The 26,334-nt window shown below is 35.1% G+C and overlaps 1 protein-coding gene across 17 annotated transcripts in view; it reads right to left on the bottom strand.

The window, feature by feature from the left end:
- DENND1B (DENN domain containing 1B) overlaps positions 1-26,334 on the bottom strand; it is a 277,403-nt gene that overhangs the window by 107,171 nt on the left and 143,898 nt on the right. For 16 of the 17 annotated variants that reach the window (NR_125340.2, XM_011509248.3, XM_047447711.1 and 13 more), the window contains 2 exons: positions 5,741-5,841; positions 13-58 (listed from right to left, as the gene is read on the bottom strand). Coding sequence is in view for 15 of the 17 variants with exons in the window: in XM_011509248.3 (XP_011507550.1) it covers positions 13-58; positions 5,741-5,841 (147 nt within the window). In the remaining 2 variants the exon portion in view is untranslated. Of the gene's footprint in view, positions 1-12; positions 59-5,740; positions 5,842-26,334 lie in introns of those variants that run through there. The other variant, XM_047447715.1, reaches the window with a different exon arrangement.

The following is a 26,334-nucleotide window of genomic DNA, read 5'->3' on the forward strand; positions in this document are numbered from 1 at the left end:
AAAGATACTCACCTCTATGAGGCTGGAGTGTATTCCAATCAGGTATGGCATTGGGGCACTAAATTAAAAATATATATATGCATAGATTCATATAGTTCATTAAAACTGAAACAACAGTATAAGTAATTCAAAATGATTAAAAATTAAATGTATTAAATGCTCAGTTCCAGCATAACACATTATAGATATTCAAAATTATTCAATATATAAAGCTCAAATTTAATCTTAGAGGCCATTAATATATTTAAAATTAAGATTGCTTTTTATAAACATCATAAAATCATTTATAATTTAATCAAGAGTTATAATGCCTAAAAAGTTTGTTTGTTGGTTTGTTTTTACCTTAAGAAGAATATCCAGGTCTAGGCCATAGTCTGAATTGAATCTTTTCCGTATACCTCATAGCAAATATATCTTAAATAATCATCAAATTTATTAACATCCGTTTTGCACATCTTTTCCTATTCAATTAAATTCTTATTTCTATGATATTCTTAATATATATATTCATTGATACATACCTCCTATGTCACCAAATATTTGGATCAGAGGGTCAGTCTGCAAATATCTATCAAGACTTATTGTTTGTCAGACACTGTTCTGGAACTGGATGTACAAAAGGAAACAACTTCCTCACCTACTGTGCTATCTTTCCCCTCATGTACATTGTCTTTTATTTACCTAATTTTATAAATTCAGATTTATCCAACTTTCACTTTTATTAATAATTTTAATAAATTTAAAAATACTCAAGTGTGAGAATAATCTTGAATTAATTAATTCAACACATGATATTTGGAGCATAGCAGGTGCCAGGCCTTAGGGTAGAAACTTGGGAACAATAATAGACAATATAAACTGAATATATTCCCTATGGATTTTATACTCTTGCAAAAAATATAGATGTTAAATTTTTAATACACAGAATAAGAATTGCTGGTTATTTCAGAAATACTTCTCACGAAATACAAGAAGAAAATTATTCAACTTGACATTTCAAACCTAAAATATTATCTAACAGAAAAACATGAGAATTGACAGATATCTACGAAGTCAATAGCAGATATATGAATAAATAGCTATTTTAAAATAAAACATTTTTGGCAATTCTTTTATAGGCATCTTTGTGCTCTATTATGACACTCTTTTTCTGTTAATGCAAACAGATAATCCTCTTTCTCAAAAGATTTGCATAATTTTCTAAACATCATTGTCATTATTAGAACAGAGCTGTCCAAATTTCTGTGTGTTCACTTTGCTACTGAGAACCAGCAATAGATTACACAGCCACCCTGACAGACCCAGAGATTTCAAAGTAACCTTAAAAAGTTCCAAATTTATTTAAAGATGGCTAACCACCAATCTATATATCCAGAATTTACAAAATAAGTGTTAAAGTTCTTATTTTACTCCTCGTTAGCCTGTACATTCTAGTTCATTACTTCTTATTGTACTAGATTCTAATTCCCAGTTGTCTTTGCCCTTTGTAGCTTTGTTCCTTCCTATTTTTTTTTTAATTTGAATGCAAGAGACCATCTGGAATTGATCTGATATTCTGGATACTTCACTTGGCTGAAAGTTGAAAACTGTTTATAGGCCTTGATATCCTTAAGACCTAACAGATTTTCTACCTTCAAAAGGAAACAGGAGGAACAAATGTGTACTGTTCCACTACTTCCCTAATTCAAGTTCTCATCCCTGTATTCCTTCTAGGTCTCCAGAGAAGAAGACATAAAATGCATATCACTAACAAATCTAGGCTTCCACAACAAGGTTTTGATACCTTTAACAAAATGAAGTTAGGCCATAATCTTAAATATCTCAAGCCCTGCCTATGTTCAAAATAGCATAAAATTATTAAAGTCACTGTGTAAACTTCCAATTAACCTCAGGTTAGTTTATTCTATTCACAAGATTTATAATACAGAAAAGCCCATGCTGTCTGAAATTTCAAAGTACATTTTAATGAAAGAGTTTTAAAATAGGTAAGCCTTCTAAAAACAATAATTACTAAGTCCATTTTACAAATGTTGGTGGGATAAATGGGTGGGTCAGATTTTCTTAAAATCAGAAACAGACTGCTAAATAACCTACTGAATACATCTAGGAAAACTTTTTTTTTTTTTTTTTGAGACGGAGTCTCGCTCTTTCGCCCAGGCAAAAACATTTTAAACTTTATGGAAGATATACTTATCTTCAGAAGTATAAAAAACACATTGATAAAAATTGTTAAGCTGACATAAAAATATTCATTAAAAAGCTTGTATGCAAAATTTAATCATATAATAACTTGAAACTTTTAAAATGGGATCACTTGTTATCTCCACATGTTCTCTTCTCACCAATTTCTCACAAAATCTAAAACACAGATGTTAGAACTGTAAACATTATTAACCTAGAGACTAATTTCCTAAAATAATTACATTTTGCAGAATATAGAGTGAATAGTTGTTTCTTTCTCACAAAAACTGGATTGTGTAATCCTAATATGAAATCACCCAAATCTCATGAAAAGTAACTTTGCAAACCTAGCCTTAAATTTCCTAATTAGATAAGGGCATTAACAAGCCAAGAAGAGATTCTTGGCAACACAGATGTTTTGTCCTCTATGTGAAAAACTGTCCTAAATCTTTCTTTCAATGAAGTTATTTTGCAAAGATAGGATACAGAAGCCTCCATATGATTGCTGCTTCTTTTTGGTAGCAATTCACCTGTACTTAAGAATAGCTTTTTTTTTCTTTTTAGGTTTTCATACAAAGAGACCACTCATGACACAGACTATAACAGCAGTCTATTGGGGTAGTCTAAAGAATACAATTTTCCATTTTTTTAAAGAAAAAAAATACCTATTCTCTCAGAAGCTAAATCTGCTCCTTTCATAAAAAGAAGAGTCATATAGCCTAAATAGTGACTCAACCATTCATGAACAAATGATAGATAATTACAATTTTACTAGTCCTACAGTCACACTACCTGCCATGTGTTTATGGACTTAGATAGGTTAAGACTGTCTTGCAACATCATAGACTTGCCACATTAAAGTACTCTTACATTGGCTGATTAGGGGAAAATGCAGATGGTGTCATTTCCTCCCAGGCACCTTCCCTAAGCTACCAGGGACTGTAGGCCACTTCTTCTTATGTGTTGCCATCCATGGTCCTTTGTATGCCTATTCTGTAATACTTATAGTATTGCAGTATTACACTGTGCTGTGTGTGTGCATGTGTGCACATGTAAGTATGTGTGTATTTCTTGCTATCTGTGAATCTTGCAATGGCATAAACTAAATCTTATTCATTACATTACACACTCACAGCTTGGCAAATATTAATAGATGGTCACTAAGTGTTTAATGAACAAGTGAATGGATGAATGAATCAACAAAGTAGCAAGGCTTTATTGGTGGACCAAGATGCGATATCCATCCATGGTCACAAGATGGCATTACGGCTCTCCACAGTCCAACCCACACCAGAGCTACCAGTTGCAAAAACAGAAATACTTTATGGAGGTAGGATTACCTCAGGATTCAGAAAGTTCCAATCGTGCCAAAGAGTTAGCAAAGATATATCTTTTCCTATCAAATCTTCATGACACTATTTTTGAACTGGAATATTCATAAAAAGTATTTAATCAAAACTATGAGATTGAAGGGATGATCTGTAATTTTTTTCCCTTTTACATGTAGATCAGTATGATTTTTTAACCTCAAGGATGGAAATGGAAGAAAACTGTTTACCCTAGGAAACAGTTTAGTTTACCAAGTTTTCTGATGGCTATTCTTTAAAAAAATAATTATATTATATTACTCCGTTCCTATGATAGAAGCTGAGCCTATCATTGTGACCTTAAGGTTCAGGAAGTTTCAGATAACTTCTTGTTTGAATATCACTGACTTACTCTTTGAACCAGGGAGGTTTTTGGCATGCAAGCTCTTAGAACTCAACCCAAAGGCTATTTCAGACATTAGACACTAGAAAGAAAATTCCAGGGACTGAAATATGAAACAAGCTTACTTCATTGAATTTTATGGCAGGGGTAGAAACGATTAGAAAAGATCTGGAAAAAAATTAGTACAGAACTGCCTGTGTCATATAATAATTTCTAAATAACATTTTAGAAAGTCTTAAATGTGTAATTCATTACAGATAATTGAACTTAATTAAAGGTGTGTTATCTCTTAAGAGGTTAGAACATTTTAATAGAAAAATTAAGATGGCACTAACATCATATATAAAACGTAATTCTAAAGATATATTATGTAAAATCATATATCAATATATTTCCAAATACTGCTGTAAAATATATTTTTAAATAAATAAAGTTTAATTACTGAACAGTATATACAAAGATCTACTGCATATGTCAACATAAATAAATGAGACCCTCCCTTTAAGGAATGCTAAAATATTATAGGTATGTTGGTTAAAGGAAAACTCTAAAATGAATAACAAAGGGCCTATTTATTTTATTCTTAGACTTGTGTGTGTGACACTTAACAATATAAACTACATTCCTATAGTTTCCTGCCAAACAGTTTCTCCTTTCTAGTTCTCAAACAGCATAATAGCAATGGTAGGTCACTGGGCACCTACTTCACAGCATTATCAATACTAATAATATTACCATGCTGTGGAAACACACCAATATATTAACGTAATCAATATGTGGCCAAGTACATGTGTTGTCACTACAATCACTTGTTCTGAAGAGGCTCAGTCATAAAAAGTTAATAGAAACCCTCTGTGTATGAACTTAAATCATTTTTAATCCTTAATACTTTCTGCCTTTTATGAAATAAGAAAGTTAAATGAGTGCATTGATTCTAAAAGTGCTGTGTTTTAGTAACATTAGCTGTGAAATAAGCAAACACATTAAGGTCAAAATTGTTTCCTTCTATGTGTGTGCACAATGATTTAGAGGAAAAATCCCATCACATTTCTTAAGAATTAGGCTATACCTGCAGAAGATGATTATGCAATGAAGATAACATTTCCCCCCCTAGTCTTGAAGAAGGCCCAGAAGCTGCTATTTAGAAGTCTAATCCTTGTTTAGACTCATGATAAATATGCAGACTCTTCCAGGTGAAGAGAACAAGGAGGGTCTAGAGGCCTGGTTATTGGGATCCTTTAGGAATTGTGTCTAATGCCAGGAAACTTTTCAGAACTACTCCCAATACTTTTCAACATTGCTTTTCATGGTGGATCAAGGCTGAGACTTTGACTTAAACAAAAAACAAGAATTCTTGTATTAGAGACAACCCCTTTATCAGTACTTGGTATTTGGTGTGCTATTATTGAAAAAAGAGGGGTAAAGAAGTGTATTCTGAAGTAAAGGTAACAAGAGTATGCCCTGACAGAGACAATGTGGTTGCTGGCAGATTTGCCAGACAAATTCTGACACCTGGGATACTGGGTTCTCTAACTGACACCATAACTTCTATACAGTTTTCCTAACACAACTTAAGACTGTTATTTTTTTCTATTTTGCATTGAGTTATCTAAATGACTGCAGAAGAAATTCACAAAATCTAAAGAACTTTATGTTTGCTAGGTATAAACTTGCGCTACCTTTGTACAGAATTATTCTGTCCTTCATAAAAGCCATCTTTACTATTTATTAAAATGTAAGTTTCTGTGATTTCTTTTAAATATGCCCCCAAGTTTACCTAGTTCACAAATAAACAGATAATCTAATCATGAAACCTAAACTTAAAGGAGTCTGGCAAAAGCCAGCTTACCAGCAGTAGTCCAGCAGGTGTGGAGGAAGCACTGGGATGTATATGTGTTGCCAATACATTGGGTATAGAAGAGCAGCTGATCCATGGATACAGGCAGTTAACTGAAATTTGTAAAAGGATAACAAAAATAAGTAGCTGCTGACCTTCCAAACAAAAAGCAATGTTCAATGTATCAACAATGAACAGTAATCACAGAACAATTTACATAACTACATAAATCACATTGTCTTTATCACTTCTACATGTAAAAAGTCTTACATCTCAGAGGCCCCTCTGAAACATATATAAACAGCAAAAGAAGCTTCTTGGGAATCATGTAGATAGTTATAATCATCTGAAAATACCGAGTTTGGGATTGAAAACTTAGAACATAAGTAAAAGTAAAACTGAAAAATTAGGTGTGCATCTTAGAAAAATTGTAGGAAATTACAATTTGTACAGCATAGTTTGTGTATCACTCAGATTAATATAAGATGATTAAATATGGAAAGGAAGAGAGGCTGAAAGCTCCTGAGGGATATCATTAGGGCAAATTGCCAAAGAATGAAACATGAGCCAGTTAGGAGAGTCTGGAAGCTGCAATAATATCAGGGGACTTGAATGTTCGACAGTTGGAGCTTCAGTAATGTGTGAACTGCGGGTTACGGTATCAAGAGACTCTGTTCACTGACACATAGAATGTCACTATTGACCAGCAAACTGCCCAAGCTTGACAGCTGTACTACAGGAAGCCAAGTATATCATAATTTCATATTTAAACTGTTCATTCCAGATTAACATTTTGTTTCCTAGCTTTATATCACAACAGCTGTAATTACACTGTTGCTATTTTAAAGGTAATTGCCATTTTAATTGTTTTGTTTTGGTAAGCAGTTAATTAAACATTTTTTAGTACTTAACAAAAGGATATCACTTTTTTCTCCCATCTTCTGACCCTCATCAGAATTCTTTTAATGTGACTTTCTTTCCATTTTAAATTATATTTCTGTAGATGTAAAGTCATTTTTATGCATAAAGCAATAATTAAATCAGCATTCTTAATCATTTTAAAGTTTTGCTATAGTCTGTATTTCAAGGTTACCGATTAAATTATTTTATTCAACTTGAAGATCAGAATTAAAAAAAAATCTGAAAATGAACCAGACTTTCTATAAACCGTTTTCTCTATTATTATACAAAGATATTTAAAGAAACTAAGTGATAAGCACAATTAATTTAAAAAAATGAATGTACACAAAGCTATCCAAATCCTATTATTAGCCACATTTGTCTATGTTTAAGTGCAAAATAGATCCATTACATAAAGTAAATTAAAATAACTCGATTTGAACCAAAACCAAAAATTTTTATTCAAAGTATATGCATCTTTGCCATATGTATTATATTTTTTCCAGTCATGTTTTTAATCAGTTTTGTATGGCAAATAATGTATTTTGATTTCACTTAGGATGTTATCATTAAAGGATTTTACTACCTTGTACTTACAAGCTTTAATAGGTTATGATAGTATTCCTTCAATAAGTATTACTTTTTAAATTCCTTAATTAGAGCCTACAATATGCCACTAGGAGGCATTCAAATACTTCCATTTAACAATTATAGACCATGGATTTATTTATGTTACAAACTGCAGCTAGAGGGAAATGAAAATGGGGTTGATCTAACTCATTGTGTCAAATTCTCCAAGAGCTCTCAGGTACTCCTTAGTTGTAAATTAGGCCTCTTTAAGACTGTATTAACTCTTTCCACCCCCTTTTTAACCTGATGGGCTAAAAGAGCTTATGAAGCGTTGAAAGGCAGCTAATTATTCAATTTCTCAATCTGCACACAGATGACTTTTTAAACAGCTCATTTAAAGCCTTAAAAACAACAAAAAAGAGAGAGTGTTCTTTTTTTGTTACTGAGCAAATAAAAACTGTAGCAAGAGGAAAAACACGTTCTTAATGTGAGGTATTATATTTAATACCTCACTTTATTTCACTGGGCAATTTATTTCACTGGGCATACCCAGAGTCCAAAGCACTCTACTAAATGCCATGTAAATACTTTCCCTGCCTCCTTACTGGTCATCCTTAAATGAAGTTTTATTAGTTATTCGCTAACAAAATTCAACATTATCTGATGAATTTGACTGATTTCTTAGAGGATGGTTTCTGTAATTATATGCAGAGTCACAAAATTTCTGCAATGGCCAGCATCTGGTAGAGGGTTATGCCTGCTAATCAAGATCTACCAGAAGAGAACCGAGTCTACAGGACTTGGCAACTTTCTGGATGTGGGGTATAGGTGACAAGGAGAGGAAAAAATATATGACAACTCCTTCCCAACCACAGTTCTGGAACTAAGCAACCAGAATGAATTATTAAAGGTAATATAGCAAAAGTGTCAGGTTTAAGTAGAATTATAAGGAATCTGCTTTGGCAAATATTTATTCTGTTAACCATGAGACACCTAAATGGAGATTTCCAAAGAAGACGGAAGCATCCCAAAGATAATCCTCCATATTCACCTAGTAGCATGCAAGAGCTGTGAAACTTAAAAAAAAATGAGAAAATACTATTATGGCATATTCTTTTACAGATGATAGCAAAGTTGCAAGTAAATAAAATAAAACAAATTTACTAGAAAATGTAACACATTCATATGTAAATTGCATAAAATCATAACATGTATATTACAGACACAAAATTAGGGCTCTGCCACCAACAAGCCATGTGATCTCTGGCACATCTACAAATATAACCATGTCTCAGTTTTCTGATCTTTAAAATAAGAACTCTATGCTAGATGATCTGTAAGTATTTTCTCTCATAGATCAAACATTCTTTATTTTTAGATCAGATGAATTCTATCTTTTTTATATTCTTATGTATTGAGATTTCTTCTACCCTGGTGGCTAACGGAATACTATGACTGGACTATAATTCAGATCCACTTTCAAAATATATCTAAAAGTTTAAGTGCTTTAAAGTGCTTTAATAAAGTAGGTGCTCTAAAGTCCATAAGGTAATTATGCAACTGAAAATATTATAATAATTTTTTTGCTTAATTCAACAAAAATTTTGAGTGCCTGCTATATGCAATCGAAATCCCTATGAGGCAACAGGGACACAGTACTAAACAGAACAAAGTCCCCGTTTCTATGGAGCTTATGTGTTAGTGGAGAAAGCAAACAATAAACAAGTAAAATAAATATTGTCAGAGATTAGATCTATAAAGAAACCTAAAGTAGGGAGTGATGGGGGTGGGGAGCTATTTTAGATAGGAGGATTACAGAAGAACTCTAACGTGGTGACATATGAACTGAAACCTAACTGAAGGGAGAGAGTAAACTCGTGGATTTGGGAAGAAGAGCATTCCAGGTAAATTAAACGAGGCATTCAGAAGTCCCAGGTGAGAACATGCTTGGCATCTTCACAGAGCAATGGGGAAGTCAGTGAGATCAGACTGGAGGAAGTGGGAGAATGGCAGGAGATGAGGTCAGATAGAGAAGCAGAATCAATGATGGAGAGCCTTCTAGGACACGGCAAAGACTCTAAATATTATTCTCGATGACATTTTTACATACCTCTGAAGAGAGTGCTATCATAATAAACTATTTACCTGGAACATTTGAGAATATACAAATTAAAGAAAAATATACAAATTAAAGGAAAATAGAGCCTTCTAGGACATGGCAAAGACTCTAAATATTATTCTGGATGACATTTTTACATACCTCTGAAGAGAGTGCTATCATAATAAACTATTTACCTGGAACATTTTGAGAATACACAAATTAAAGGAAAATAAACTACATATTTTAGAAGTTTGGTTTGCAATATAAAGTACTACAAAGAAATGAGAACAATTTAATAAGCCAAGTAAGAAGAATCTTATTAATTTAACATTATTTATGATATATTGAATCTTTAAGCTTAAAGAAAAATGAAATATCATATAGTCTTTCTTTGGGCTAGAATTACCCAAGTATCATATGTCTGATTAGTGACAGGGCCAAGACTCCACATTGCTTTTCTAATATCGTCAGTTGCTTCTTTAATACCACAATTGTTCCTCACGAAAGCAGAGAAAAGGGTAAAGGGAAGAATTTCCATGTTTCAGTTCAAACATATCTCTGGCATTATACCCTGAAACTGAATAATACACTGTTATAATTTTCAGATAAAAATGAATTTACCAAATAAAGGTTTATGGAAAAAAATTTCTTATCTTTATGTGACATATGATATTTAAAATGCACATATATTTTCATAAAGCATACCCAATATATTGAACTAATACAGTTCCAAAGAGCTGACTAATGCAAAATAGAAACATTGGTAATACTGATTTACTATGGACTTCAATTACAACATAAGTATATATGGGAATCATGAGAAGGGACAAGAACTAATGCCTGTGAAACCAGACAGAGAAACCTGACAGCAAAGGTCTGCAACAGTTAACTCAGTCATAGAACAAAGGCATTTGAAACTTCTGGTCCCAGGTCACCAGGTCTAAACATAGGTAGTGCCATTGAAAATAATAGCAACAACAAATGTTTACATAATGTTTACCATGTGCCAAGAACTGTTATGAGTACTTGAACTACTCATACCTAATCCTCACAACAACCTCATCAAGTACTATTATCATTACTTCTACTTATCAGATCAAGGCACTAAGACAAAGTTCAACCAACTGCCCACGATCACAGAGCTTATCAACAGCAAAGCCAGGATACAACTGGAGGCAGGCTAGATCCAAAGTATAGTAACCACTATTTCAAACTGCCTTCAATATACAAAGATTTTAAATTATCATCATTATGAGGCTTTGAATAGCATCCACTGACTGAAAATATTGTGTTTTATACTAATTGTATAATAGAGAATGCATCTTTGGACCGGACAATCAAACAAGAGCCATTGACCTTTGTATGAGAAATCTATGATAGACAGAGATCTGATTTACAAAACTTTCCTCAGGCAACACAGACTGTAACTACAGCAGGTAACTAATAAAACAGACTCTCCCAGAAAATGTTAAAAGGATAAGATCATTGATACAAATTCTACAAGTTATCATCTCAACTTATGTCTATGAGTACACCTAAGTTTGAAACTGAACCAAAGTTGTCCTGCTTTGTGATACAAAATCTGATTTGTTCCTTCTTCTTAAACTATATTTATTAGAAGAAATCAGTCTATTAATAAAACTAGAATTGTTTTAAGCAATTAAATAGGCATGTATTTTGAGGGAGGAGAAAAAGACATTTATCAGATTCCCATGGACACAGCAGAAAGACAATCCATCTAGTATAATCACCACTATGAAAAATAGCACAATTTTAACTAGCATGCCTTACAGGTAAAGGTATCATATAGACACATTGCTACTCACACTATTCTAGCCTCTGTATCACCTATCTAGATTGTGCCTCATTCTTTTGTAGAAATCCTACACTTCAGCTAGAGTTATAGGAGTTACTGCAGGGTTAAATGAGTTACTGAGGGGCAGATTTATATTCCCTAAGAAAGCATTTATTAATAAAATCCAAGAAACATGTATTAGAGACCTCACCTGATTTTTAACTGAATCAATACTTAATTTAGAAATTTAAGCATCATAAATAACTATAAGTATAAACAGTAAACTGTTGCAGATGGGAATGTAATGAATTCCTCATAAAATTTTTAAAAAATTAGTGGAAACCATAAAGAAAAAAACTGTTTAAACACATTTAATTTATATTCACATTTTAAAGTTCAGACCAAAAACGGGAGCAGCAGGGTATCTGAAAACCACAACATTAACTACTAAATAGTCTCACTTAAGAAAAACTCTAATATTCAAATTAAGTGAGACTTATAAGAAAATGTTTGGAGAACAGAAATTTTACATAATGCAAAAACAATATTTTGTACATTTTTTAAAAATAGAATTTATTTCTTAGAATACTTTTACATTCATAGCAAAACTGAGCAGAAAGTACAGAAATGTCCCATGTTCTCCCTGCCCTCACACACCCATGGCTTCCTCCATTATTAACATACCCAACCACACTGGTACATTGTTACAGTCAATGAACCTATATTGATACATCATTGTCATCTGAGTCCCTAATTTACATCAGAGTTCACACTCTAGGATAAAACAAATTTACAGTGACATGTATCCACCATTATAGTATCATAAAAATGCTCTATTAAATAATTACATATAAATCTAACAAAATATGTATACAATCTATATAAGGAAAACTAAAGACTCTGATAAAAGAAATCAAAGAACTAAATAAATGGAGAGATATTCCATGTTCATGGGTAGGAAGACTCAATACTGTGAAGATGTCAGTCCTTCCAACTTGATCTATAGATTACAATCCCAATCAAAATCCCAGCAAGTTTTCTTGTGGAAAACAAGAAGGTGATTCTAAAGTTTCTATCGAGAAGCAAAAGACACAGAATAGTCAACACAATTCTGAAAGAACAAAGTTGGAGGACTGACACTATCTGAGTTCAAAACTTATTATAAAGCTACAATATTCAAAACAGTGTAGCATTTATAAAAGAACATACAATTAGATCAATGAAACAGAATAGAGAGCCCACAAATAGACCCACATAAATATAATCAACTAATCTTTGACAAAGAAGCAAAGGCAATACAATGAATAAAAGACAGTCTTATCAATAAATGGTGCTGGAAGAAGTGGACATCCACATGCCAAAAAAATGAATCTAGATACAGTCCTCACACTTTTCATGAAAATTTACTCAAAATGAATCACAGACCTAAATGTAAAATGCAAAACTATAAAACTCCTAGAGGATAATACAGGAGAAAATCTACATGAACTAGGGCTTGGCAATGACTTTTAGAGACAACACCAAAGTCATGAACCATGAAAAAATTAATTGATAAGCTGGATTTCATTAAAACTGGAAACTCTAAAAAGCAGAGCGCCTCTCCTCCTCCAAAGGAACACAGTTCCTCACCAGCAACGGAACAAAGCTGGATAGAGAATGACTTTGACGAGTTGAGAGAAGAAGGCTTCAGACGATCAAACTACTCTGAGCTACAGGAGGAAATTTAAACCAAAGGCAAAGAAGTTAAAAACTTTGAAAAAATTTTAGACGAATGTATAACTAGAATAACCAATACAGAGAAGTGCTTAAAGGAGCTGATGGAGCTGAAAGCCAAGGCTCGAGAACTATGTGAAGAATGCAGAAGCCTCAGGAGCCGATGCGATCAACTGGAAGAAAGGGTATCAGTGATGGAAGATGAAATGAATGAAATGAAGCAAGAAGGGAAATTTAGAGAAAAAAGAATAAAAAGAAACAAACAAAGCCTCCAAGAAATATGGGACTATGTGAAAAGACCAAATCTACGTCTGATTGGTGTACCTGGAAGTGACAGGGAGAATGGAACCAAGTTGGAAAACACTCTGCAGGATATTATCCAGAATTTCCCCAATCTAGCAAGGCAGGCCAACATTCAGATTCAGGAAATACAGAGAACGCCACAAAGATATGCCTCGAGAAGAGCAACTCCAAGACACATAATTGTCAGATTCACCAAAGTTGAAATGAAGGAAAAAATGTTAAGGGCAGCCAGAGAGAAAGGTCGGGTTACCCTCAAAGGGAAGCCCATCAGACTAACAGCAGATCTCTCAGCAGAAACGCTACAAGCCAGAAGAGAGTGGGGGCCAATATTCAACATTCTTAAAGAAAAGAATTTTCAACCCAGAATTTCATATCCAGCCAAACTAAGCTTCATAAGTGAAGGAAAAATAAAATACTTTACAGACAAGCAAATGCTGAGAGATTTCGCCACCACCAGGCCTGACCTAAAAGAGCTCCTGAAGGAAGCACTAAACATGGAAAGGAACAACCGGTACCAGCCACTGCAAAATCATGCCAAATTGTAAAGACCATCGAGGCTAGGAAGAAACTGCATCAACTAACGAGCAAAATCACCAGCTAACATCATAATGACAGGATCAAATTCACACATAACAATATTAACTTTAAATGTAAATGGACTAAATGCTCCAATTAAAAGACACAGACTGGCAAATTGGATAAAGAGTCAAGACCCATCAGTGTGCTGTATTCAGGAAACCCATCTCACATGCAGAGACACACATAGGACATAGGCTCAAAATAAAAGGATGGAGGAAGATCTACCAAGCAAATGGAAAACAAAAAAAGGCAGAGGTTGCAATCCTAGTCTCTGATAAAACATACTTTAAACCAACAGAGATCAAAAGAGACAAAGAGGGCCATTACATAATGGCAAAGGGATCAATTCAACAAGAAGAGCTAACTGTCCCAAATACATATGCACCCAATACAGGAGCACCCAGATTCATAAAACAAGTCCTAAGTGACCTACAAAGAGACTTAGATTCCCACACAATAATAATGGGAGACTTTAACACCCCACTGTCAACATTAGACAGATCAACGAGACAGAAAGTCAACAAGGATACCCAGGAATTGAACTCAGCTCTGCACCAAGCAGACCTAATAGACATCTACAGAACTCTCCACCCCAAATCAACAGAATATACATTTTTTTCAGCACCATACCACACCTATTCCAAAATTGACCACATAGTTGGAAGTAAAGCTCTCCTCAGCAAATATAAAAGAACAGAAATTATAACAAACTGTCTCTCAGACCACAGGGCAATCGAACTAGAACTCAGGATTAAGAAACTCACTCAAAACCACTCAACTACATGGAAACTGAACAACCTGCTCCTGAATGACTACTGGGTACATAAATAATGAAATGAAGGCAGAAATAAAGATGTTCTTTGAAACCAATGAGAACAAAGACACAACATACCACAATCTCTGGGACACATTCAAAGCAGTGTGTAGAGGGAAATTTATAGCACTAAATGCCCTCAAGAGAAAGCAGGAAAGATCCAAAATTGACACCCTAACATCACAATTAAAAGAACTAGAAGAGCAAGAGCAAACACATTCAAAAACTAGCAAAAGGCAAGAAATAACTAAAATCAGAGCAGAACTGAAGGAAATAGAGACACAAAAAAAACCCTTCAAAAAATTAATGAATCCAGGAGCTGGTTTTTTGAAAGGATCAACAAAATTGATAGACCGCTAGCAAGACTAATAAAGAAGAAAAGAGAGAAGAATCAAATAGATGGAAAAAAAATGATAAAGAGGATATCACCACCAATCCCACAGAAATACAAACTACCATCAAAGAATACTACAAACACCTCTACGCAAATAAACTAGAAAATCTAGAAGAAATGGATAAATTCCTCGACACACACACCCTCCCAAGACTAAACCAGGAAGAAGTTGAATCTCTGAATAGACCAATAACAGGATCTGAAATTGTGGCAATAATCAGTAGCTTACCAAACCAAAAGAGTCCAGGACCAGATGGATTCACAGCCGAATTCTACCAGAGGTACAAGGAGGAACTGGTACCATTCCTTCTGAAACTATTCCAATCAATAGAAAAAGAGGGAATCCTCCCTAACTCATTTTATGAGGCCAGCATCATCCTGATACCAAAGCCGGGCAGAGACACACCGAAAAAAGAGAATTTTAGACCAATATCCTTGATGAACATTGATGCAAAAATCCTCAATAGAATACTGGAAAACCGAATCCAGCAGCATATCAAAAAGCTTATCCACCATGATCAAGTGGGCTTCATCCCTGATATGCCAGGCTGGTTCAATACACGCAAATCAATAAATGTAATCCAGCATATAAACAGAACCAAAGACAAAAACCACATGATTATCTCAACAGATGCAGAAAAGGCCTTTGACAAAATTCAAGAACACTTCATGCTAAAAACTCTCAATAAATTAGGTATTGATGGGACATATCTCAAAATAATAAGAGCTATCTATGACAAACCCACAGCCAATATCATACTGAATGGGCAAAAACTGGAAGCATTCCCTTTGAAAACGGGCACAAGACAGGGATGCCCTCTCTCACCACTCCTATTCAACATAGAGTTGGAAGTTCTGGCCAGGGCAATTAGGCAGGGGAAGGAAATAAAGGGTATTCAATTAGGAAAAGAGGAAGTCAAATTGTCCCTGTTTGCAGATGACATTATTGTATATATAGAAAACCCCATTGTCTCAGCCCAAAATCTCCTGAAGCTGATGAGCAACTTCAGCAAAGTCTCAGGATACAAAATCAATGTACAAAAATCACAAGCATTCTTATACACCAATAACAGACAGACAGCGAAATCATGAGTTAACTCCCATTCACAATTGCTTCAAAGAGAATAAAATACCTAGGAATCCAACTTACAAGGGATGTGAAGGACCTCTTCAAGGAGAACTACAAAACACTGCTCAATGAAATAAAAGAGGATACAAACAAATGGAAGAACATTCCATGCTCATGGGTGGGAAGAATCAATATCATGAAAATGGCCATACTGCCCAAGGTATTTTATAGATTCAATGCCATCCCCATAAAGCTACCAATGACTTTCTTCACAGAATTGGAAAAAACTACTTTAAAGTTCATATAGAACCAAAAAAGAGCCCGCATCGCCAAGTCAATCCTAAGCCAAAAGAACAAAGCTGGAGGCATCATGCTACCTGACTTCAAACTATACTACAAGGCTATAGTAACCAAAACAGTGTGGTACTGGTACCAAAACAGATATATAGATCAACGGAACAGAACAGAGCCCTCAGAAATAACGCCGCATAACTACAACTATCTGATCTTTGACAAACCTGACAAAAACAAGCAATGGGGAAACGATTCCCTATTTAATAAATGGTGCTGGGAAAACTGGCTAGCCATATGTAGAAAGCTGAAACTGGATCCCCTCCTTACACCTTTTACAAAAATTAATTCAAGATGGATTAAAGACTTAAACGTTAGACCTAAAACCATAAAAACCCTAGAAGAAAACCTAGGTGTTACCATTCAGGACATAGGCATGGGCAAGGACTTCATGTCTAAAACACCAAAAGCAATGGCAACAAAAGCCAAAATTGACAAATGGGATCTAATTAAACTAAAGAGCTTCTGCACAGCAAAAAAAACTACCATCAGAGTGAACAGGCAACCTACAACATGGGAGAAAATTTTTGCAACCTACTCATCTGACAAAGGGCTAATATCCAGAATCTACAATGAACTCAAACAAATTTACAAGAAAAAAACAAACAACCCCATCAAAAAGTGGGCGAAGGATATGAACAGACACTTCTCAAAAGAAGACATTTATGCAGCCAAAAAACACATGAAAAAATGCTCACCATCACTGGCCATCAGAGAAATGCAAATAAAAACCACAATGAGATACCATCTCACACCAGTTAGAATGAACATCATTAAAAAGTCAGGAAACAACAGGTGCTGGAGAGGATGTGGAGAAATAGGTACACTTTTACACTGTTGGTGGGACTGTAAACTAGTTCGACCATTGTGGAAGTCAGTGTGGCGATTCCTCAGGGATCTAGAACCAGAAATACCATTTGACCCAGCCATCCCATTACTGGGTATATACCCAAAGGATTATAAATCATGCTGCTATAAAGACACATGCACACATATGTTTATTGCGGCACTATTCACAATAGCAAAGACTTGGAACCAACCCAAATGTCCAACAATGATAGACTGGATTAAGAAAATGTGGCACATATACACCATGGAATACTATGCAGCCAGAAAAAATGATGAGTTCATGTCCTTTGTAGGGACATGGATGAAACTGGAAATCATGATTCTCAGTAAACTATCGCAAGGACAGAAAACCAAACACCGCATGTTCTCACTCATAGGTGGGAATTGAACAATGAGAACACATGGACACAGGAAGGGGAACATCACACTCTGGGGACTGTTGTGGGGTCGGGGGAGGGGGGAGGGGTAACATTAGGAGATATACCTAATGCTAAATGATGAGTTAATGGGTGCAGCCCACCAGCATGGCACATGTATACATATGTAACTAAGCTGCACATTGTGCACATGTGCCCTAAAACTTAAAGTATAATAATAATAAAATAAAATAAAATAAAAAATGAATAAATTTAAAATTTTTGTTCTGTGAAAAACACTGTCAAGAAAATTTAAAAAGCAGCCACGGACTTTAGAGGAAATATTTGCAGAGGGCATATCTGATAAGAGCCTGTTATCCAAAATATACAAAACTCTTAAAATTCTATAATAAGAAAACAAACAACCCAATTAAGAAATGGGTCAAAAACTGTAACTGATGCCTCACCAACCTCAGCAAAGATATACAAATGACAAATAAGCATATGAAAAGATGTTCCCCATCACATGTCATCAGGGAAAGGCAAATTAAAACAATGAGATACCACTACGCACCTATTAGAATGGCCAAAATCCAGAACACTGACAACAAATGCTGATGAAGATGTGGAAAAGAAACTCTCATTCATTTATGGTGGGAATACAAAATGGTACAGCCACTCTGGAAGACATTTTGGTGGTTTCAAATAAACCTAAATTTTTTATACTTTATTTTCTTCCTTTATTCTCTTAGGATGGTATCTTAGTCTCTTTGGGCTACTATAACAAAATACCTCAGAGTAGTTAACTAATTAATAATAGGAGTTTATTTCTCACCATTCTGGAGGCTGGGAAATCCAACATCAAGGTACCAGCAGATTCAGTGCCTGGTAAAGGCTTGCTCTCTTCTCCATAGGATGGCACCTTGTTACTGCATCCTCACACGGCAGGAGGGACTGAACAGCTCCCTTGAAGCTCTTTTATAAGGTCACTAATTGCATTTATGAGGGCTCATGATTTCATTACTTCCTAAATGCCCTAACTCTTAATACTATCATATTAGGTTTTAAATTCCAAAAATACAAATTTTAGGGGACACAGTCAGACCATAGTTGATGGTAAATTCTGATACTTCACTGCTAAAAGTTTATTCTAAACTATTTCCATCATACCCAAGTCCTTTGGAAAGTTCTAATCATCTCACATTTAGTCACTGGTTTATTAGCTCTTCCTAGCCAAATAATTCTAAATTTTTCTTTCTTGCTTGCTTCCTTCAAGTATTCATTCTTTCTTTCATTTTATAGTTGGAGAAACTGAGGCAAAGTTAAGTCAATTGCCCAAGATTACTAAGCCAGCAAGTGGGGCACCAAACCTGTGCCAGACATTATTATTAGTGGTGAGGATACAGTAATGAACAAAACATACAAAAATCTGTACTCTCAAGGAACTTACATTCTAGTTACCCTCTATATACCACCATTACTGCTGTACTCACCTCGTCACAACTCTTTGGATTTCTGTGCTATCACATTATACATAAATGCCAATACCCTCAAATACATCTCCTCACCTACATGACATTTCCCTATCACTAAATTTACTCCTTTCTAATTCTCACTCTCAGAAAGTCAATTCAATAGCAGTTTTTCTTTTCTTAGAGAAGGCCCTTCTACTTTTCCACCAAAATTAAAGAGTGTAACACTACAACACTCCTCAAATCTGTCTATATTTTTTCTTCACAAATATCTAAACTCTACATTCTGGAGGATGAAGGGTTAGGATATGGTTTATACAAAAATTACATAATTTGGCAATCATTTTAAACAATAAATATACAATATAAGAATCATTGTATTTAACAACTAGAAAGGATCCTAGAAATCATTCTTGTTCAATTTCTTCATTTTTTAGACAAGAAATTTCAGGGTAAAAGAAATTAGATGAATTATAAGAAGGTAGCTGATGTACTGTAGAGTAGTTAGGACTAAAACACAAATCTCTAATTTTAGAAGGTATTATTAATATGAACACATTACTACCATATATTCAGACAATATTTCAAATAAATAGTAAATAAAAACTGATTGAAGCTACTCTTTAACTATTAGTCATATTTGAAATCATAATTTAAAATATCTTTCACCCAGAACAAAATAAAACTGATCGCAAACCACCAGCAACTGAAAAAGAGACAATCACAATGGCAGAACAACAACAAAGTAAATTCTAAATCTTTAGAGTTAACAAATATAATAATTTGTAATTAAATAAGAATAAACAATTATATATATTTTAATGTTAAAATTACTATATATAACCTTTATCTTATGTCTGTTTAACATACATGTGTATATTTAGCATGCATATCATATATATGTGAATATCTGTATGTATATGTGTGTATATGCATACACATAATTATAAAGTGAAATTTGCTGTTAGTAAATGATATCAAGAACTGTCCCCTTATAAAGCAGATACTAAGTAAACATTTGGTAAAGACTTGTCCTGTGTATGCCACTCTACATTCTCCCTTTTCTTACCTACTCTTAAGCTAATACCACAGGCAAAAGACTCTTGCCTGGAAATGTTTCTAAAACCCAACCTCACCTCCCTCTTAAGGTCACTGTTCTAGTTCAGGAGCTAATCATCTCTTGCTTTTATTACTGTAACAATCTTTTAACTGATCTCCTGTCAGCTGGATTCCCCCTACTGCATTTCTTCTTTTATAAGGCCACCAGTGTTATCTTCTCCAAAACAAAACTTACCATGTCATGTACCTCATTTGCCTCCCCACAATCTGTTGGATAAAAGCCAAACCTCTTAAATTAGCAAATGTGATTCTTCACAATCTGGCCACTGTTTATATCCCCAGATAGATTTTGTAGTCTGATTTCTCTCTCTCCCACTCTCTCCATATACAAACATACATACACACACACAAACAGTAATATATTAAAGATATATTTCCTAGACATGATACAAATTCCTTTCGAGAATGAGGTGTCATATTGAAGTAAACTCTGTAGTCTGCCACTCTATCTCCTAATATCTCCCATGTTAGAATTTTTATCACACTGACTGTCCTTGACTCACTGACACTGTTATAGAATCACAAATTAGTAACTCTGAAATTCCCAGTACTTAGTACCTGGCAAATAATAGCATTTATCAATGCACAAATGAATAAATACTTATATACCTTATCTTTGGAAACTCTACTCATGCCAAATATTTATTTCAAAATAAAGGCATTTCTTTCCTTCTCAGGTGGTTAACTATTTTTAACTCCTTCCTATTTAACAGAAGAATGCTTCTACTTTAATTTTAAGATGCCACTTGGCTAACTGGGGTACCATATGCCACTGAATCAACAGGCTGAAAAAGAGGAAGTTAATCTACTGGCTTGAGTGATTGTTCTCAATAACCAAAGGGAAACTGGGGTGCTTCTACATAATAGTTTGGCAAAGAGAAACGTGTCTTGAACCAGGGGATTCTCTATGGTGCCTCAGGACTTGCATGCCTAAAGTAAAAGTTAATGAAAAACTACAACCAAAACACAGCTAAATCTTTGAGGATTGAGATTCTTTGAGAATGGGACATTTTACCAGATAAAGATCCTGTCCAGGTGAAGTTCTAGCTGAGGGTGAGAGAAATATGGAATGGGTAATAAAAGGAAGCCATACATACCAATTATGGCCTCTTGACCAGTTACATAAACAAGGGCTTCTCCTTTAGAGGAAAGGGTGAGAATGTCTACATTTGTAAAAAATGATAGTTGTATGTTATTAGGTAGAAATATAGATTTGTTTTATTGTACAGGAATTCAAATATGTGTAGAAGGGTACAAACAGAGGCTGAGTATCCAAAGGGGTGGACTGTACCAATTATCAACTTATTGCCTCTCAGCTCCAAATCTGCCCCTCACTGCCTGATCTGTGAAAATGGATCTGGACTCTGGATATTTTTCCTTTTAGCAACTGGCATGATGTCAAACTTTGTCAGGAGAGGGTACTAAAGGGACAATGCAAAAAGAGAGAACTTGCTCCTGGTTCCAGTGAGACACTCTGCAGGCTCCTGCAAAGCTTATGGCTCATCAAGGGCTGGCTCCTATTGTACCTGCATCTTCCCTAGGGCCCATTTCCTATAGCACAGGTGTCCACCAGGCTCCTATGCAGTGGGCAGTTTCTGCAGTGCCTGGCTCCTGCAGGTACTGGCAGCCAAAGGTTTCCCTCAGCATTCCCCTACCTTATAGCAGAGTACCCCTGGCTCTTGCAGCACTTGAAGCCTTTCTACTGCCTGGTTCCTGCAGCCCAGGAGGCATCTCCTGCACCTGATTACTGGAGTGTACAATTTCCAACAGTACCAAGTGGCCAGCAGCTTCCCTTTGTTAGTTTTTTAAGGGAGTTTCCCCAGTAACACGATCCTAGTTAATAGCTTCACCTTAGGAGGCTTTATAGTAGTCTGCTGCGAGTGAGGCATCTCTTGCAAACAGCTTCCCCAGTACCTCTCATATGGCTTTCCAGCAAGTTCTAAGGAATGGCATTTCTCTGAGGGCAGCTTTCCTGGGCACCCCAAAGGGCAGGATTCCAGAAAATTCTGCCAGTGTGGCACCACAGCAACTTCTCTGCTATCCAATGAGCCACACAGCTGTGCCCTCTCCATTGGAGTCTGGATCTCACACCCAGATAGGGCTTCTTCCCTGGGTGCTCCGTCTCAGCCCTAAGACTAGTAGCTGCTTTATATTTGTTATTTCTATAGTCTTTAGAATTTCCTTCACTTACTAGTAGCCCATCCCTTGTTACCCCAATCCCAATGTTATAGTTTTTAAATTCTTTATATTAAACTTTCCTTGTTCAAATTACTATGTAATTTCTCTTTCCTGGTCATATCCAGACTGATACAAAGGCTGTTACTTTATGATCTTACCTATAGAACACTGCCTGGCATGAGTTAAGCATTCCTTAAATGAGGAACGATTCAATGAATGAACAAATGAACATTTTTTATAGAAAGAAAGTAATGAACTTTCTATTTAGGACTATATGAAGACCAAAGAATACCAAACTAAGTTCCTGTATAGGCTGAACAAGAGTCATAACTGCAATACAAATCCATGAATCTGAAAAGGGTTTAAGATGTATTAATACATTTTTCCCTAAGGCATTACTGTTTTGGCATAGACTTTTAAAAAAAATTATCTAGTAGAAAATAGCTAAACACAAATCTTCTTTTAAAGACAACACCTACACAGAAATTAGTGCCTAGGCCGGGCACAGTAGCTCACGCCTGTGATCCCAGCAACTTTGGGAGGCCGAGGCAGGAGTGTTGCTTGAGCCCAGGAGTTCAAGACTGGCCTGGGCCACATGGTGAAACTCCCGTCTCTACAAAAAAATACAAAAATTTGCCAGGCACAGAGGCACATGCCTGTAGTCCCAGCTACTTGGGAGGCTGAGGTGTGGAAAGATGCCTGAGATCTGCGGGCAGAAGCTGCAGTGGGCCCAGATCACATCACTACACTCCAACACCTTGGCGACAAGAGTGCAACTCTGCGTGAAAAGGAAGGAAGGAAGCAAGGAAGGAAGGAAGGAAGGAAGGAAGGGAAGGAAGGAGGAAGTAATCAGCACCTAACTTGGAAACTTCAAGGTTTACAAAGAAACTTTCATTATTTAAAGAGACAAATGTCAAAGAGATAAATCAAGGGATACATTTCTACTTGACAAAGATACACTTTCTACTCTGGCATTTTCAGTATCAGATGAACACTTTATATTTTACACTATAATGTAATTAATAATTTTTTATTTTAAAAACTTTTCTGACACAATTTAAATGATTAAATTTATTCTTCAATACATACATGAACACACCCACAGATACACACAACCCATGGTTTTATTTATTTTATTTTATTTTTTGATACAGGGTCTCATTCTGTTGCCAGGCTGGAATGCAGTAGAGCGATTATGGCTCACTACAGTACTAAACTCCTGGCTCAAGCAATCCTCCCACCTCAGCCTCCCGAGTATCTGGGATTACAGGCGTGTGACACCACACCCAGCTAATTTTCTTAATTTTTTGTAGAGACAGGGTCTCACTACATTGCGCAGGCTATTCTCAAACTCCTGGGCTCAAGCAATCCTCTCACCTCAGCCTCCCAAAGTGCTGGGATTACAGGCATGAGCTACCATGCCAGGCAGGTTTTTAATTTTTAAAGAGATCGATATCTAATACAAGAGCTTGACATATTCACTAATATTTAAAATTTGAGAAGGGTATGTGGTAAATGCTATGATAATTCAGAGATGAAAGATGTTACACTGGTTACTCATACAAACTAAGCCTTCTGTAAAGCAAACCAGATTTTGAAAAACATTCAGAAGCATGCATGTGGGAGATTTAAAACACATATGAGGAAGAGCAAAAAGTGCAATTTCATCCATTCACTCAGAAAATTATTGTTAAAACCTTCTATGGATACATATCAACACTGTCCTAAGAGACAGATACATTGTAGTGACTGACTGAACAAGATTAAAAAAAAAAAAGAAAGAAAAAAAAACCCGCCCTGATAACTTTATTGTCTAAAGATCTGTGTGGACTATAAGTAATCGAAAAACTCAGAAAGACAAGTTTAGAATCAGATAATGGATAGTTTTTTACCAGACTTAGCAGTTTATAGGCAATGAGTAACCAATAGATTTTTTTTATTCTGAAGGATTAATTACATATAGGATGAATCTAAAAGATGAGAAAATGGAAAATGAGAGGTCCAAACAGAAGATAAGTGCTAGCCCTAAAAGTGGTATTCAAAATGAGAGAAAGGTATAAATATGACACATTGAGAGATAATCGACTAGACCTGCAAAGACGAGGAAAAAAGTCACTTCACTGTAAGTAATTCAAATAATAAACAGAGGTTCCTTAAGGGAAGGGATACTATATTGGGGCAGAAGGTAAGGATGCATTTGGTTTTATAAGATGGTCATTGTAAGAGGCAAAATTGCATAAAGGTTGTAAGCATATACTTTGGAATCATACAGAACTGGTTAAACCAATTCCTAGTACTATGGCCTTGATCAACTTACTCCCTCTCAATTTCAAAATCCACATTTTCATCTGTCTACCGTGGATAACAACTGTACCTACCACATAATACATAATAATTAAATGAGTTAGTTTAAATAAATTTCTCAGTAGGGTAAGTAGCGCAAAGCATGCCCTATATTATATATTGGCTATAATTATTAATAACATCATCATTTTATGTAAGTGAATTCAGTATATATGATCTGAAAATAATATCTGTGGGAAGTAGTAACTGCTGAACTAAGACAGTGGGCAGTTGAAGAACAGGAATCGGAGAAGAAAAGATTAAGGAGGTAGAACCTATAGGATGTAGGTGGGGAAAACAGATGAGAGGGAGGAGTGATTCACCAAATTAGCCCTTTATAGTAGGAGAAGGAGACTATGGGGAAAAGATGGCGAGTTGCATTTTGGCGGTATTGAATGGGATGTCAACAATGAGCTAAACTGCACTATAAGAAAGCTCACTGGAAGAGAAAAACTTGCCTAACTGTAAAATGAAAAAAAAAATTATAGTATGTGAAAACATATAAATATAGAAGGTACATTTTAAAATAAACACACTGCCCTCAATAGTTTTATTAAAGAAACAAAACCAACACATACATTATTTTCTTTTATTTAATGTTGATTACACTATCAGCACAAAATTGTCACTGTTCCATATAAAAAATACTAACATTATCACTGTCTGTAAGCTATAAGGATAAGAAAAAAGAAAAAAAAATGCTTGGTAAACTGAAATCATCCAAGGTCATTTCTGTGGATATCATACAGGAACAAAGCTTACAGAGCCTAGGGGAATGACAAGTTAATAACAACTCTTTGATAATTCCATAATTGTTAAATTAAAAAATTCTTCATTGTGAATTAAAAGCCAATTATTTACTTTTAGAACACAAATGGACTAAATCATAAGGCAGAAATACGTGTTTATTTTCATGAAAAACAGAGCCATTATCACTACAGGAGTTGGAAGATAAAAACACCTCTAGTTTTCCTGTAACAGAAGTCTCCTCCAAATAACCTTCACACATCCCTTCCAATAAACTGCTTCCTGATGACCTCAACAGTACCATTTCCCCACTCCAGTCATATTCACTTAGCACTGACTAAAAATACAATGTTCAGAATAGCTGTGTACCGGTGAAATGATAAACTGGTAAGTAGAATTATTCAGTTTCAGATGACATAACTGGTTGCTTACGGGTTTGGGGAAGAATTAAAAATCTAAAAATTGCTTCTAGAATCTTTCCCTGAGAGATGATAACAATTTTTAACTGCACCACTCTGCTGCAGCTTTAAAAACATGAGGCACAAAAATACACTTTAATAACCTTAACTAGGAAGCAGGACTACGTAATCTTTGTTCTCTCACCAAATGTTCAATTCCTCATCTCCAGAAAGAGTCTCTGCACTTCGGGTTTCAGATTAAATGCTGACACAGGTGGCTCCATTAAGAGACAAATCAAGAATATGTATAATCCAGATGAAGAGGTTAAAATCCTCTGGACTGCCTTTCAGTCTGACTAAACCTGTAAAATCTATATTTAATAGCTGATTTTCCAGAGATCGAAAGATTTCTTTTTACATATGCCCTTGATGGAATTAATGAGAGGAGAGAAAAGCATATGCTTAAATGCCTGGGGGCAACTATAACAAAGGAAGAAATTACAGTTTATTAACGTAATTCCAGTACTCATAACATATTGCTTGCTCTAAATATCC

This window comes from Homo sapiens, chromosome 1 (genome assembly GCF_000001405.40).
Source record: "Homo sapiens chromosome 1, GRCh38.p14 Primary Assembly".
In the NCBI taxonomy this organism is placed as follows: Eukaryota; Metazoa; Chordata; class Mammalia; order Primates; family Hominidae; genus Homo; species Homo sapiens.